At 39.8% G+C, this 16,481-nt stretch overlaps 1 annotated feature.

Moving 5' to 3' along the window:
- Positions 1 to 16,481: part of a centromere (Linear centromere model derived predominantly from reads generated in PMID: 17803354. This region does not represent an actual centromere sequence, as long-range ordering of repeats and unmapped WGS contigs is not provided by the model. For details of model production, see http://arxiv.org/abs/1307.0035.) that runs on past both edges of the window.

The raw sequence follows: 16,481 nt of genomic DNA, 5'->3' as shown, positions 1-16,481 counted from the left end.
AAAGGTTCAACTCTGTCAGTAGAGGGCACACATCACAAACAAGTTTCTGAGAATGCTTCTGCATAGTTGTTACGGGAAGATATTTCCCTTTCCAAAATAGGCCTGAAAGCGCTCCAAATGTCCACTTCCAGATACTACAAAAGGAGTGATTCCAACCTGCTCTATGATAGGGAATGTTCAACTCTGTGTCCTGAATACAAACATCACAAAGATGTTTCTCAGAACGCTGCAGTCTGCAATTTGTATGAATTCCCGCTTCCAACGAAATCCTCAAAACTAGCCAAATATCCACTTGCAGATTCCACAAAAAGAGCATTTCAAAACTGCTCTATCAAAAGAAAGGTTCAACTTTGTTAGTTGAGTAGATACAGCATAAACAAGTTTCTGAGAATGCTTCTGTCCAGTTTTTATGGGAAGATATTTCCTTTTTCACCTTAGCCCTGAAGGCGCTCCAAATTTCCAGTTCCAGATACTACAAAAGGGGTGTTTCAAGACTGCTCTATGAAAGGGAGTGTTCAACTTTTGACTTGAATGCAAACATCAGAAAGCAGTTTCTCAGAACGCTGCTGTGTGCTTTTTATATGTATTCCCGCTTCCAGCGAAATCCCCAAAGCTAGCCAAATATCCACTTGCAGATTCCAGAAAAAGAGAGTTTCCAAACTGCTCCTTCAAAACGGTGGTTCAATTCTCTTAGTTGAGTACACACATCTCAAATAAGTTTCTGGGAATGCTTCTGTCTAGTTGTTATGGGAAGATATTTCCTTTTTCAACATAGGCCTGAAAGCGCTCCAAATGTCCACTTCCAGATACTACAAAAGGAGTGATTCCAACCTGCTCTATTATAGGGAATGTTCAACTCTGTGTCCTGAATACAAACATCACAAAGATGTTTCTCAGAACGCTGCAGTCTGCAATTTGTATGAATTCCCGCTTCCAACGAAATCCTCAAAACTAGCCAAATATCCACTTGCAGATTCCACAAAAAGAGCGTTTCAAAACTTCTCTATGAAAAGAAAGGTTCTACTCCTTTAGTTGAGGACACACATCACGAGTAAGTTTCTGAGAATGCTTCTGTCTAGTTTTTATGGGAAGATATTTCCTTGTTCACCTTAGGCCGGAAAGCGCTCCAAATGTCCACTTACACACACTAGAAAAAGAGTGTTTCAAACCTGCTCTGTGAAAAGGAATGTTCAATTCTGTGACTTGAATGCAATCATCACAAAGAAGTTTCTGAGAATGCTGCTGTCTGCTTTTTATATGTAATCCCGTTTCCAACGAAATCCTCAAATCTAGCCAAATATCCACTTGCAGATTCCACAAAAAGAGTGTTTCAAAACTGTTCTGTCTAAAGAAATGTTCAACTGTGTTAGTTGAGGACACACATCAGAAACTAGTTTCTGAGAATGCTTCTGTCTAGTTGTTATGGGAAGATATTTCCTTTTCCAACGTAGGCCTGAAAGCGCTCCAAATGTCCACTTACACACACTACAAAAAGAGTGTTTCAAACCTGCTCTACCAAAGTGAATGTTCTACTCTGTGACTTGAATGCAAACATCCCAAAGAAGTTTCTGAGAATGCTTCTGTCTAGATTTAACCTGAAGACAATCCCGTTTCCCACGAAATCCTCAAAGCTATGCAAATATCCTCTTGCAGATTCTACAAAAAGAGAGTTTCGAAACTGCTCTATGAAAAGAAAGGTTCAACTGTGTCAGTAGAAGGCACACATCACAAACAAGTTTCTGAGAATGCTTCTGCCTAGTTGTTATGGGAAGATATTTCCTTTTTCAACATAGGCCTGAAAGCGCTCCAAATGTCCACCTCCAGATACTACAAAAGGAGTGATTCCAACCTGCTCTATGATAGGGAATGTTCAACTCTGTGTCCTGAATACAATCATCACAAAGAAGTTTCTGAGAATGCTGCTGTCTGCTTTTTATATGTAATCCCTTTTCCAACGAAATCCTCAAATCTAGCCAAATATCCACTTGCAGATTCCACAAAAGAGTGTTTCAAAACTGTTCTGTCTAAAGAAAAGTTCAACTGTGTTAGTTGAGGACACACATCAGAAACTAGTTTCTGAGAATGCTTCTGTCTAGTTGTTATGGGAAGATATTTCCTTTTCCAACGTAGGCCTGAAAGCGCTCCAAATGTCCACTTACACACACTACAAAAAGAGTGTTTCAAACCTGCTCTACCAAAGGGAATGTTTTACTCTGTGACTTGAATGCAAACATCCCAAAGAAGTTTCTGAGAATGCTTCTGTCTAGATTTTACCTGAAGACAATCCCGTTTCCCACGAAATCCTCAAAGCTATGCAAATATCCTCTTGCAGATTCTACAAAAAGAGTGTTTCGAAAGTGCTCTATGAAAAGAAAGGTTCAACTCTGTCAGTAGAGGGCACACATCACAAACAAGTTTCTGAGAATGCCTCTGTCTAGTTGTTATGGGAAGATAATTCCTTTTTCAACATATGCCTGAAAGCGCTCCAAATGTCCACTTCCAGATACTACAAAAGGAGTGATTCCAACCTGCTCTATGATAGGGAATGTTCAACTCTGTGTCCTGAATACAAACATCACAAAGATGTTTCTCAGAACGCTGCAGTCTGCAATTTGTATGAATTCCCGCTTTCAACGAAATCCCCAAAACTAGCCAAATATCCACTTGCAGATTCCACAAAAAGAGCGTTTCAAAACTTCTCTATGAAAAGAAAGGTTCTACTCCTTTAGTTGAGGACACACATCACGAGTAAGTTTCTGAGAATGCTTCTGTCTAGTTTTTATGGGAAGATATTTCCTTGTTCACCTTAGGCCGGAAAGCGCTCCAAATGTCCACTTACACACACTACAAAAAGAGTGTTTCAAACCTGCTCTGTGAAAGGGAATGTTCAATTCTGTGACTTGAATGCAATCATCACAAAGAAGTTTCTGAGAATGCTGCTGTCTGCTTTTTATATGTAATCCCGTTTCCAACGAAATCCTCAAATCTAGCCAAATATCCACTTGCAGATTCCACAAAAAGAGTGTTTCAAAACTGTTCTGTCTAAAGAAATGTTCAACTGTGTTAGTTGAGGACACACATCAGAAACTAGTTTCTGAGAATGCTTCTGTCTAGTTGTTATGGGAAGATATTTCCTTTTCCAACGTAGGCCTGAAAGCGCTCCAAATGTCCACTTCCATATACTAAAAAAAGAGTGTTTCAAACCTGCTCTACCAAAGGAATGTTCTACTCTGTGACTTGAATGCAAACATCCCAAAGAAGTTTCTGAGAATGCTTCTGTCTAGATTTGATCTGAAGACAATCCCTTTTCCAACGAAATCCTCAAAGCTAGGCAAATATCCTCTTGCAGATTCCAGAAAAAGAGTGTTTCCAAACTGCTCCTTCAAAACGGTGGTTCAATTCTCTTAGTTGAGTACACACATCTCAAATAAGTTTCTGAGAATGCTTCTGCCTAGTTGTTACGGGAAGATATTTCCCTTTCCAACATAGGCCTGAAAGCGCAACAAATGTCCACTTCCAGATACGACAAAAAGAGTGTTTCAAACCTGCTCTACCAAAGGGAATGTTCTACTCTGTGACTTGAATGCAAACATCCCGAAGAAGTTTCTGAGAATGCTTCTGTCTAGATTTTACCTGAAGACAATCCCGTTTCCCACGAAATCCTCAGAGCTATGCAAATATCCTCTTGCAGATTCTACAAAAAGAGTGTTTCGAAACTGCTCTATGAAAAGAAAGGTGCAACTCTGTCAGTAGAGGAAACACATCACCAACAAGTTTCTGAGAATGCTTCTGTCTAGTTGTTATGGGAAGATTTTTCCTTTTTCAACATAGGCCTGAAAGCGCTCCAAATGTCCACTTCCAGATACTACAAAAGGAGTGATCCCAACCTGCTCTATGATAGGGAATGTTCAACTCTGTGTCCTGAATACAAACATCACAAAGATGTTTCTCAGAACGCTGCAGTCTGCAATTTGTATGAATTCCCGCTTCCAACGAAATCCTCAAAACTAGCCAAATATCCACTTGCAGATTCCACAAAAAGAGCATTTCAAAACTGCTCTATCAAAAGAAAGGTTCAACTTTGTTAGTTGAGCAGATACAGCATAAACAAGTTTCTGAGAATGCTTCTGTCCAGTTTTTATGGGAAGATATTTCCTTTTTCACCTTAGCCCTGAAAGCGCTCCAAATGTCCAGTTCCAGATACTACAAAAGGGGTGTTTCAAGACTGCTCTATGAAAGGGAGTGTTCAACTTTTGACTTGAATGCAAACATCAGAAAGCAGTTTCTCAGAACGCTGCTGTGTGCTTTTTATATGTATTCCCGCTTCCAGCGAAATCCCCAAAGCTAGCCAAATATCCACTTGCAGATTCCAGAAAAAGAGAGTTTCCAAACTGCTCCTTCAAAACGGTGGTTCAATTCTCTTAGTTGAGTACACACATCTCAAATAAGTTTCTGGGAATGCTTGTGTCTAGTTGTTATGGGAAGATATTTCCTTTTTCAACATAAGCCTGAAAGCGCTCCAAATGTCCACTTCCAGATACTACAAATGGAGTGATTCCAACATGCTCTATGATAGGGAATGTTCATCTCTGTGTCTTGAATACAAACATCACAAAGATGTTTCTCAGAACGCTGCAGTCTGCATCTTGTATGAATTCCCGCTTCCAACGAAATCCTCCAAACTAGCCAAATATCCACTTGCAGATTCCACAAAAAGAGCGTTTCAAAACTTCTCTATGAAAAGAAAGGTTCTACTCCTTTAGTTGAGGACACACATCACGAGTAAGTTTCTGAGAATGCTTCTGTCTAGTTTTTATGGGAAGATATTTCCTTGTTCACCTTAGGCCGGAAAGCGCTCCAAATGTCCACTTACACACACTACAAAAAGAGTGTTTCAAACCTGCTCTGTGAAAGGGAATGTTCAATTCTGTGACTTGAATGCAATCATCACAAAGAAGTTTCTGAGAATGCTGCTGTCTGCTTTTTATATGTAATCCCGTTTCCAACGAAATCCTCAAATCTAGCCAAATATCCACTTGCAGATTCCACAAAAAGAGTGTTTCAAAACTGTTCTGTCTAAAGAAAAGTTCAACTGTGTTAGTTGAGGACACACATCAGAAACTAGTTTCTGAGAATGCTTCTGTCTAGTTGTTATGGGAAGATATTTCCTTTTCCAACGTAGGCCTGAAAGCGCTCCAAATGTCCACTTCCATATACTAAAAAAAGAGTGTTTCAAACCTGCTCTACCAAAGGAATGTTCTACTCTGTGACTTGAATGCAAACATCCCAAAGAAGTTTCTGAGAATGCTTCTGTCTAGATTTGATCTGAAGACAATCCCTTTTCCAACGAAATCCTCAAAGCTAGGCAAATATCCTCTTGCAGATTCCAGAAAAAGAGTGTTTCCAAACTGCTCCTTCAAAACGGTGGTTCAATTCTCTTAGTTGAGTACACACATCTCAAATAAGTTTCTGAGAATGCTTCTGCCTAGTTGTTATGGGAAGATATTTCCCTTTCCAACATGGGCCTGAAAGCGCTCCAAATGTCCACTTCCAGATACTACAAAAAGAGTGTTTCAAACCTGCTCTACCAAAGGGAATGTTCTACTCTGTGTCTTGAATGCAAACATCCCAAAGAAGTTTCTGAGAATGCTTCTGTCTAGATTTTACCTGAAGACAATCCCGTTTCCCACGAAATCCTCAAAGCTATGCAAATATCCTCTTGCAGATTCTACAAAAAGAGTGTTTCAAAACTGCTCTAAGAAAAGAAAGGTTCAACTCTGTCAGTAGAGGGCACACATCACAAACAAGTTTCTGAGAATGCTTCTGCATAGTTGTTATGGGAAGATATTTCCCTGTCCAAAATAGGCCTGAAAGCGCTCCAAATGTCCACTTCCAGATACTACAAAAGGAGTGATTCCAACCTGCTCTATGATAGGGAATGTTCATCTCTGTGTCCTGAATACAAACATCACAAAGATGTTTCTCAGAACGCTGCAGTCTGCAATTTGTATGAATTCCCGCTTCCAACGAAATCCTCAAAACTAGCCAAATATCCACTTGCAGATTCCACAAAAAGACCATTTCAAAACTGCTCTATCAAAAGAAAGGTTCAACTTTGTTAGTTGAGTAGATACAGCATAAACAAGTTTCTGAGAATGCTTCTGTCCAGTTTTTATGGGAAGATATTTCCTTTTTCACCTTAGCCCTGAAATCGCTCCAAAAGTCCAGTTCCAGATACTACAAAAGGGGTGTTTCAAGACTGCTCTATGAAAGGGAGTGTTCAACTTTTGACTTGAATGCAAACATCAGAAAGCAGTTTCTCAGAACGCTGCTGTGTGCTTTTTATATGTATTCCCGCTTCCAGCGAAATCCCCAAAGCTAGCCAAATATCCACTTGCAGATTCCAGAAAAAGAGAGTTTCAAAACTGCTCCTTCAAAACGGTGGTTCAATTCTCTTAGTTGAGTACACACATCTCAAATAAGTTTCTGAGAATGCTTCTGTCTAGTTGTTATGGGAAGATATTTCCTTTTCCAACATAGGCCTGAAAGCGCTCCAAATGTCCACTTCCAGATACTACAAAAGGAGTGATTCCAACCTGCTCTATGATAGGGAATGTTCAACTCTGTGTCCTGAATACAAACATCACAAAGATGTTTCTCAGAACGCTGCAGTCTGCAATTTGTATGAATTCCCGCTTCCAACGAAATCCTCAAAACTAGCCAAATATCCACTTGCAGATTCCACAAAAAGAGCATTTCAAAACTGCTCTATGAAAAGAAAGGTTCAACTCTGTCAGTAGAGGGCACACATCACAAACAAGTTTCTGAGAATGCTTGTGTCTAGTTGTTATGGGAAGATATTTCCTTTTTCAACATAGGCCAGAAAGCGCTCCAAATGTCCACTTCCAGATACTACAAAAGGAGTGATTCCAACCTGCTCTATGATAGGGAATGTTCAACTCTCTGTCCTGAATACAAACATCACAAAGATGTTTCTCAGAACGCTGCAGTCTGCAATTTGTATGAATTCCCGCTTCCAGCGAAATCCTCAAAACTAGCCAAATATCCACTTGCAGATTCCACAAAAAGAGCATTTCAAAACTGCTCTATCAAAAGAAAGGTTCAACTTTGTTAGTTGAGTAGATACAGCATAAACAAGTTTCTGAGAATGCTTCTGTCCAGTTTTTATGGGAAGATATTTCCTTTTTCACCTTAGCCCTGAAAGCGCTCCAAATGTCCAGTTCCAGATACTACAAAAGGGGTGTTTCAAGACTGCTCTATGAAAGGGAGTGTTCAACTTTTGACTTGAATGCAAACATCAGAAAGCAGTTTCTCAGAACGCTGCTGTGTGCTTTTTATATGTATTCCCGCTTCCAGCGAAATCCCCAAAGCTAGCCAAATATCCACTTGCAGATTCCAGAAAAAGAGTGTTTCCAAACTGCTCCTTCAAAACGGTGGTTCAATTCTCTTAGTTGAGTACACACATCTCAAATAAGTTTCTGGGAATGCTTGTGTCTAGTTGTTATGGGAAGACATTTCCTTTTTCAACATAGGCCTGAAAGCGCTCCAAATGTCCACTTCCAGATACTACAAAAGGAGTGATTCCAACCTGCTCTATGATAGGGAATGTTCAACTCTGTGTCCTGAATACAAACATCACAAAGATGTTTCTCAGAACGCTGCAGTCTGCAATTTGTATGAATTCCCGCTTCCAACGAAATCCTCAAAACTAGCCAAATATCCACTTGCAGATTCCACAAAAAGACCATTTCAAAACTGCTCTATCAAAAGAAAGGTTCAACTTTGTTAGTTGAGTAGATACAGCATAAACAAGTTTCTGAGAATGCTTCTGTCCAGTTTTTATGGGAAGATATTTCCTTTTTCACCTTAGCCCTGAAATCGCTCCAAAAGTCCAGTTCCAGATACTACAAAAGGGGTGTTTCAAGACTGCTCTATGAAAGGGAGTGTTCAACTTTTGACTTGAATGCAAACATCAGAAAGCAGTTTCTCAGAACGCTGCTGTGTGCTTTTTATATGTATTCCCGCTTCCAGCGAAATCCCCAAAGCTAGCCAAATATCCACTTGCAGATTCCAGAAAAAGAGAGTTTCAAAACTGCTCCTTCAAAACGGTGGTTCAATTCTCTTAGTTGAGTACACACATCTCAAATAAGTTTCTGAGAATGCTTCTGTCTAGTTGTTATGGGAAGATATTTCCTTTTCCAACATAGGCCTGAAAGCGCTCCAAATGTCCACTTCCAGATACTACAAAAGGAGTGATTCCAACCTGCTCTATGATAGGGAATGTTCAACTCTGTGTCCTGAATACAAACATCACAAAGATGTTTCTCACAACGCTGCAGTCTGCAATTTGTATGAATTCCCGCTTCCAACGAAATCCTCAAAACTAGCCAAATATCCACTTGCAGATTCCACAAAAAGACCATTTCAAAACTGCTCTATCAAAAGAAAGGTTCAACTTTGTTAGTTGAGTAGATACAGCATAAACAAGTTTCTGAGAATGCTTCTGTCCAGTTTTTATGGGAAGATATTTCCTTTTTCACCTTAGCCCTGAAATCGCTCCAAAAGTCCAGTTCCAGATACTACAAAAGGGGTGTTTCAAGACTGCTCTATGAAAGGGAGTGTTCAACTTTTGACTTGAATGCAAACATCAGAAAGCAGTTTCTCCGAACGCTGCTGTGTGCTTTTTATATGTATTCCCGCTTCCAGCGAAATCCCCAAAGCTAGCCAAATATCCACTTGCAGATTCCAGAAAAAGAGAGTTTCAAAACTGCTCCTTCAAAACGGTGGTTCAATTCTCTTAGTTGAGTACACACATCTCAAATAAGTTTCTGAGAATGCTTCTGTCTAGTTGTTATGGGAAGATATTTCCTTTTCCAACATAGGCCTGAAAGCGCTCCAAATGTCCACTTCCAGATACTACAAAAGGAGTGATTCAAACCTGCTCTATGATAGGGAATGTTCAACTCTGTGTCCTGAATACAAACATCACAAAGATGTTTCTCAGAACGCTGCAGTCTGCAATTTGTATGAATTCCCGCTTCCAACGAAATCCTCAAAACTAGCCAAATATCCACTTGCAGATTCCACAAAAAGAGCGTTTCAAAACTTCTCTATGAAAAGAAAGGTTCTACTCCTTTAGTTGAGGACACACATCACGAGTAAGTTTCTGAGAATGCTTCTGTCTAGTTTTTATGGGAAGATTATTTCCTTTTTCACCTTAGGCCGGTAAGTGCTCCAAATGTCCACTTACACACACTACAAAAAGAGTGTTTCAAACCTGCTCTGTGAAAGGGAATGTTCAATTCTGTGACTTGAATGCAATCATCACAAAGAACTTTCTGAGAATGCCGCTGACTGCTTTTTATATGTAATCCCGTTTCCAACGAAATCCTCAAATCTAGCCAAATAGCCACTTGCAGATTCCACAAAAAGAGTGTTTCAAAACTGTTCTGTCTAAAGAAATGTTCAACTGTGTTAGTTGAGGACACACATCAGAAACTAGTTTCTGAGAATGCTTCTGTCTAGTTGTTATGGGAAGATATTTCCTTTTCCAACGTAGGCCTGAAAGCGCTCCAAATGTCCACTTCCAGATACTAAAAAAAGAGTGTTTCAAACCTGCTCTACCAAAGGGAATGTTCTACTCTGTGACTTGAATGCAAGCATCCCAAAGAAGTTTCTGAGAATGCTTCTGTCTAGATTTTCTCTGAAGACAATCCCGTTTCCAACGAAATCCTCAAGGCTAGGCAAATATACTCTTGCAGATTCCAGAAAAAGAGTGTTTCAAAACTGCTCCTTCAAAACGGTGGTTCAATTCTCTTAGTTGAGTACACACATCTCAAATAAGTTTCTGAGAATGCTTCTGCCTAGTTGTTACGGGAAGATATTTCCCTTTCCAACATGGGCCTGAAAGCGCTCCAAATGTCCACTTCCAGATACTACAAAAAGAGTGTTTCAAACCTGCTCTACCAAAGGGAATGTTCTACTCTGTGACTTGAATGCAAACATCCCAAAGAAGTTTCTGAGAATGCTTCTGTCTAGATTTTACCTGAAGACAATCCCGTTTCCCACGAAATCCTCAAAGCTATGCAAATATCCTCTTGCAGATTCTACAAAAAGAGTGTTTCAAAACTGCTCTATGAAAAGAAAGGTTCAACTCTGTCAGTAGAGGGCACACATCACAAACAAGTTTCTGAGAATGCTTCTGCATAGTTGTTACGGGAAGATATTTCCCTTTCCAAAATAGGCCTGAAAGCGCTCCAAATGTCCACTTCCAGATACTACAAAAGGAGTGATTCCAACCTGCTCTATGATAGGGAATGTTCAACTCTGTGTCCTGAATACAAACATCACAAAGATGTTTCTCAGAACGCTGCAGTCTGCAATTTGTATGAATTCCCGCTTCCAACGAAATCCTCAAAACTAGCCAAATATCCACTTGCAGATTCCACAAAAAGACCATTTCAAAACTGCTCTATCAAAAGAAAGGTTCAACTTTGTTAGTTGAGTAGATACAGCATAAACAAGTTTCTGAGAATGCTTCTGTCCAGTTTTTATGGGAAGATATTTCCTTTTTCACCTTAGCCCTGAAATCGCTCCAAAAGTCCAGTTCCAGATACTACAAAAGGGGTGTTTCAAGACTGCTCTATGAAAGGGAGTGTTCAACTTTTGACTTGAATGCAAACATCAGAAAGCAGTTTCTCCGAACGCTGCTGTGTGCTTTTTATATGTATTCCCGCTTCCAGCGAAATCCCCAAAGCTAGCCAAATATCCACTTGCAGATTCCAGAAAAAGAGAGTTTCAAAACTGCTCCTTCAAAACGGTGGTTCAATTCTCTTAGTTGAGTACACACATCTCAAATAAGTTTCTGAGAATGCTTCTGTCTAGTTGTTATGGGAAGATATTTCCTTTTCCAACATAGGCCTGAAAGCGCTCCAAATGTCCACTTCCAGATACTACAAAAGGAGTGATTCAAACCTGCTCTATGATAGGGAATGTTCAACTCTGTGTCCTGAATACAAACATCACAAAGATGTTTCTCAGAACGCTGCAGTCTGCAATTTGTATGAATTCCCGCTTCCAACGAAATCCTCAAAACTAGCCAAATATCCACTTGCAGATTCCACAAAAAGAGCGTTTCAAAACTTCTCTATGAAAAGAAAGGTTCTACTCCTTTAGTTGAGGACACACATCACGAGTAAGTTTCTGAGAATGCTTCTGTCTAGTTTTTATGGGAAGATATTTCCTTTTTCACCTTAGGCCGGAAAGTGCTCCAAATGTCCACTTACACACACTACAAAAAGAGTGTTTCAAACCTGCTCTGTGAAAGGGAATGTTCAATTCTGTGACTTGAATGCAATCATCACAAAGAACTTTCTGAGAATGCTGCTGTCTGCTTTTTATATGTAATCCCGTTTCCAACGAAATCCTCAAATCTAGCCAAATAGCCACTTGCAGATTCCACAAAAAGAGTGTTTCAAAACTGTTCTGTCTAAAGAAATGTTCAACTGTGTTAGTTGAGGACACACATCAGAAACTAGTTTCTGAGAATGCTTCTGTCTAGTTGTTATGGGAAGATATTTCCTTTTCCAACGTAGGCCTGAAAGCGCTCCAAATGTCCACTTCCATATACTAAAAAAAGAGTGTTTCAAACCTGCTCTACCAAAGGGAATGTTCTACTCTGTGACATGAATGCTAACATCCCAAAGAAGTTTCTGAGAATGCTTCTGTCTAGATTTGATCTGAAGACAATCCCGTTTCCAACGAAATCCTCAAGGCTAGGCAAATATCCTCTTGCAGATTCCAGAAAAAGAGTGTTTCAAAACTGCTCCTTCAAAACGGTGGTTCAATTCTCTTAGTTGAGTACACACATCTCAAATAAGTTTCTGAGAATGCTTCTGCCTAGTTGTTACGGGAAGATATTTCCCTTTCCAACATGGGCCTGAAAGCGCTCCAAATGTCCACTTCCAGATACTACAAAAAGAGTGTTTCAAACCTGCTCTACCAAAGGGAATGTTCTACTCTGTGACTTGAATGCAAACATCCCAAAGAAGTTTCTGAGAACGCTTCTGTCTAGATTTTACCTGAAGACAATCCCGTTTCCCACGAAATCCTCAAAGCTATGCAAATATCCTCTTGCAGATTCTACAAAAAGAGTGTTTCAAAACTGCTCTATGAAAAGAAAGGTTCAACTCTGTCAGTAGAGGGCACACATCACAAACAAGTTTCTGAGAATGCTTCTGCATAGTTGTTACGGGAAGATATTTCCCTTTCCAAAATAGGCCTGAAAGCGCTCCAAATGTCCACTTCCAGATACTACAAAAGGAGTGATTCCAACCTGCTCTATGATAGGGAATGTTCAACTCTGTGTCCTGAATACAAACATCACAAAGATGTTTCTCAGAACGCTGCAGTCTGCAATTTGTATGAATTCCCGCTTCCAACGAAATCCTCAAAACTAGCCAAATATCCACTTGCAGATTCCACAAAAAGACCATTTCAAAACTGCTCTATCAAAAGAAAGGTTCAACTTTGTTAGTTGAGTAGATACAGCATAAACAAGTTTCTGAGAATGCTTCTGTCCAGTTTTTATGGGAAGATATTTCCTTTTTCACCTTAGCCCTGAAAGCGCTCCAAAAGTCCAGTTCCAGATACTACAAAAGGGGTGTTTCAAGACTGCTCTATGAAAGGGAGTGTTCAACTTTTGACTTGAATGCAAACATCAGAAAGCAGTTTCTCAGAACGCTGCTGTGTGCTTTTTATATGTATTCCCGCTTCCAGCGAAATCCCCAAAGCTAGCCAAATATCCACTTGCAGATTCCAGAAAAAGAGAGTTTCAAAACTGCTCCTTCAAAACGGTGGTTCAATTCTCTTAGTTGAGTACACACATCTCAAATAAGTTTCTGAGAATGCTTCTGTCTAGCTGTTATGGGAAGATATTTCCTTTTCCAACATAGGCCTGAAAGCGCTACAAATGTCCACTTCCAGATACGACAAAAGCAGTGATTCCAACCTGCTCTATGATAGGGAATGTTCAACTCTGTGTCCTGAATAAAAACATCACAAAGATGTTTCTCAGAAGGCTGCAGTCTGCAATTTGTATGAATTCCCCATTCCAACGAACTCCTCAACACTAGCCAAATATCCACGTGCAGATTCCACAAAAAGAGCGTTTCAAAACTTCTCTATGAAAAGAACGGTTCTACTCCTTTAGTTGAGGACACACATCACGAGTAAGTTTCTGTGAATGCTTCTGTCTAGTTTTTATGGGAAGATATGTCCTTTTTCACCTTAGGCCGGAAAGCGCTCCAAATGTTCACTTACACACACTACAAAAAGAGTGTTTCAAACCTGCTCTGTGAAAGGGAATGTTCAATTCTGTGACTTGAATGCAATCATCACAAAGAACTTTCTGAGAATGCTGCTGTCTGCTTTTTATATGTAATCCCGTTTCCAACGAAATCCTCAAATCTAGCCAAATATCCACTTGCAGATTCCACAAAAAGAGTGTTTCAAAACTGTTCTGTCTAAAGAAAAGTTCAACTGTGTTAGTTGAAGACACACATCAGAAACTAGTTTCTGAGAATGCTTCTGTCTAGTTGTTATCGGAAGATATTTCCTTTTCCAACGTAGGCCTGAAAGCGCTCCAAATGTCCACTTCCATATACTAAAAAAAGAGTGTTTCAAACCTGCTCTACCAAAGGGAATGTTCTACTCTGTGACTTGAATGCAAACATCCCAAAGAAGTTTCTGAGAATGCTTCTGTCTTGATTTTATCTGAAGACAATCCCGTTTCCAACGAAATCTTCAAGGCTAGGCAAATATACTCTTGCAGATTCCAGAAAAAGAGTGTTTCAAAACTGCTCCTTCAAAACGGTGGTTCAATTCTCTTAGTTGAGTACACACATCTCAAATAAGTTTCTGAGAATGCTTCTGCCTAGTTGTTACGGGAAGATATTTCCCTTTCCAACATGGGCCTGAAAGCGCTCCAAATGTCCACTTCCAGATACTACAAAAAGAGGGTTTCAAACCTGCTCTACCAAAGGGAATGTTCTACTCTGTGACTTGAATGCAAACATCCCAAAGAAGTTTCTGAGAATGCTTCTGTCTAGATTTTACCTGAAGACAATCCCGTTTCCCACGAAATCCTCAAAGCTATGCAAATATCCTCTTGCAGATTCTACAAAAAGAGTGTTTCAAAACTGCTCTATGAAAAGAAAGGTTCAACTCTGTCAGTAGAGGGCACACATCACAAACAAGTTTCTGAGAATGCTTGTGTCTAGTTGTTATGGGAAGATATTTCCTTTTTTAACATAGGCCTGAAAGCGCTCCAAATGTCCACTTCCAGATACTACAAAAGGAGTGATTCCAACCTGCTCTATGATAGGGAATGTTCAACTCTGTGTCCTGAATACAAACATCACAAAGATGTTTCTCAGAACGCTGCAGTCTGCAATTTGTATGAATTCCCGCTTCCAACGAAATCCTCAAAACTAGCCAAATATCCACTTGCAGATTCCACAAAAAGAGCATTTCAAAACTGCTCTATCAAAAGAAAGGTTCAACTTTGTTAGTTGAGTAGATACAGCATAAACAAGTTTCTGAGAATGCTTCTGTCCAGTTTTTATGGGAAGATATTTCCTTTTTCACCTTAGCCCTGAAAGCGCTCCAAAAGTCCAGTTCCAGATACTACAAAAGGAGTGTTTCAGGACTGCACTATGAAAGGGAGTGTTCAACTTTTGACTTGAATGCAAACATCAGAAAGCAGTTTCTCAGAACGCTGCTGTGTGCTTTTTATATGTATTCCCGCTTCCAGCGAAATCCCCAAAGCTAGCCAAATATCCACTTGCAGATTCCAGAAAAAGAGTGTTTCAAAACTGCTCCTTCAAAACGGTGGTTCAATTCTCTTAGTTGAGTACACACATCTCAAATAAGTTTCTGAGAATGCTCTGTCTAGTTGTTATGGGAAGATATTTCCTTTTCCAACATAGGCCTGAAAGCGCTCCAAATGTCCACTTCCAGATACTACAAAAGGAGTGATTCCAACCTGCTCTATGATAGGGAATGTTCAACTCTGTGTCCTGAATACAAACATCACAAAGATGTTTCTCAGAACGCTGGCAGTCTGCCAATTTGTATGAATTCCCGCTTCCAACGAAATCCTCAAAACTAGCCAAATATCCACTTGCAGATTCCACAAAAAGAGCGTTTCAAAACTTCTCTATGAAAAGAAAGGTTCTACTCCTTTAGTTGAGGACACACATCACGAGTAAGTTTCTGAGAATGCTTCTGTCTAGTTTTTATGGGAAGATATTTCCTTTTTCACCTTAGGCCGGTACGTGCTCCAAATGTCCACTTACACACACTACAAAAAGAGTGTTTCAAACCTGCTCTGTGAAAGGGAATGTTCAATTCTGTGACTTGAATGCAATCATCACAAAGAACTTTCTGAGAATGCCGCTGACTGCTTTTTATATGTAATCCCGTTTCCAACGAAATCCTCAAATCTAGCCAAATAGCCACTTGCAGATTCCACAAAAAGAGTGTTTCAAAACTGTTCTGTCTAAAGAAATGTTCAACTGTGTTAGTTGAGGACACACATCAGAAACTAGTTTCTGAGAATGCTTCTGTCTAGTTGTTATGGGAAGATATTTCCTTTTCCAACGTAGGCCTGAAAGCGCTCCAAATGTCCACTTCCAGATACTACAAAAAGAGTGTTTCAAACCTGCTCTACCAAAGGGAATGTTCTACTCTGTGACTTGAATGCAAGCATCCCAAAGAAGTTTCTGAGAATGCTTCTGTCTAGATTTTCTCTGAAGACAATCCCGTTTCCAACGAAATCCTCAAGGCTAGGCAAATATACTCTTGCAGATTCCAGAAAAAGAGTGTTTCAAAACTGCTCCTTCAAAACGGTGGTTCAATTCTCTTAGTTGAGTACACACATCTCAAATAAGTTTCTGAGAATGCTTCTGCCTAGTTGTTACGGGAAGATATTTCCCTTTCCAACATGGGCCTGAAAGCGCTCCAAATGTCCACTTCCAGATACTACAAAAAGAGTGTTTCAAACCTGCTCTACCAAAGGGAATGTTCTACTCTGTGACTTGAATGCAAACATCCCAAAGAAGTTTCTGAGAATGCTTCTGTCTAGATTTTACCTGAAGACAATCCCGTTTCCCACGAAATCCTCAAAGCTATGCAAATATCCTCTTGCAGATTCTACAAAAAGAGTGTTTCAAAACTGCTCTATGAAAAGAAAGGTTCAACTCTGTCAGTAGAGGGCACACATCACAAACAAGTTTCTGAGAATGCTTCTGCATAGTTGTTACGGGAAGATATTTCCCTTTCCAAAATAGGCCTGAAAGCGCTCCAAATGTCCACTTCCAGATACTACAAAAGGAGTGATTCCAACCTGCTCTATGATAGGGAATGTTCAACTCTGTGTCCTGAATACAAACATCACAAAG

The sequence above is a fragment of the Homo sapiens genome, chromosome 18, assembly GCF_000001405.40.
Source record: "Homo sapiens chromosome 18, GRCh38.p14 Primary Assembly".
In the NCBI taxonomy this organism is placed as follows: Eukaryota; Metazoa; Chordata; class Mammalia; order Primates; family Hominidae; genus Homo; species Homo sapiens.
The sequence above is the reverse complement of the archived record's forward strand: the minus strand, read 5'-3'. Positions and strand labels throughout refer to the sequence as shown.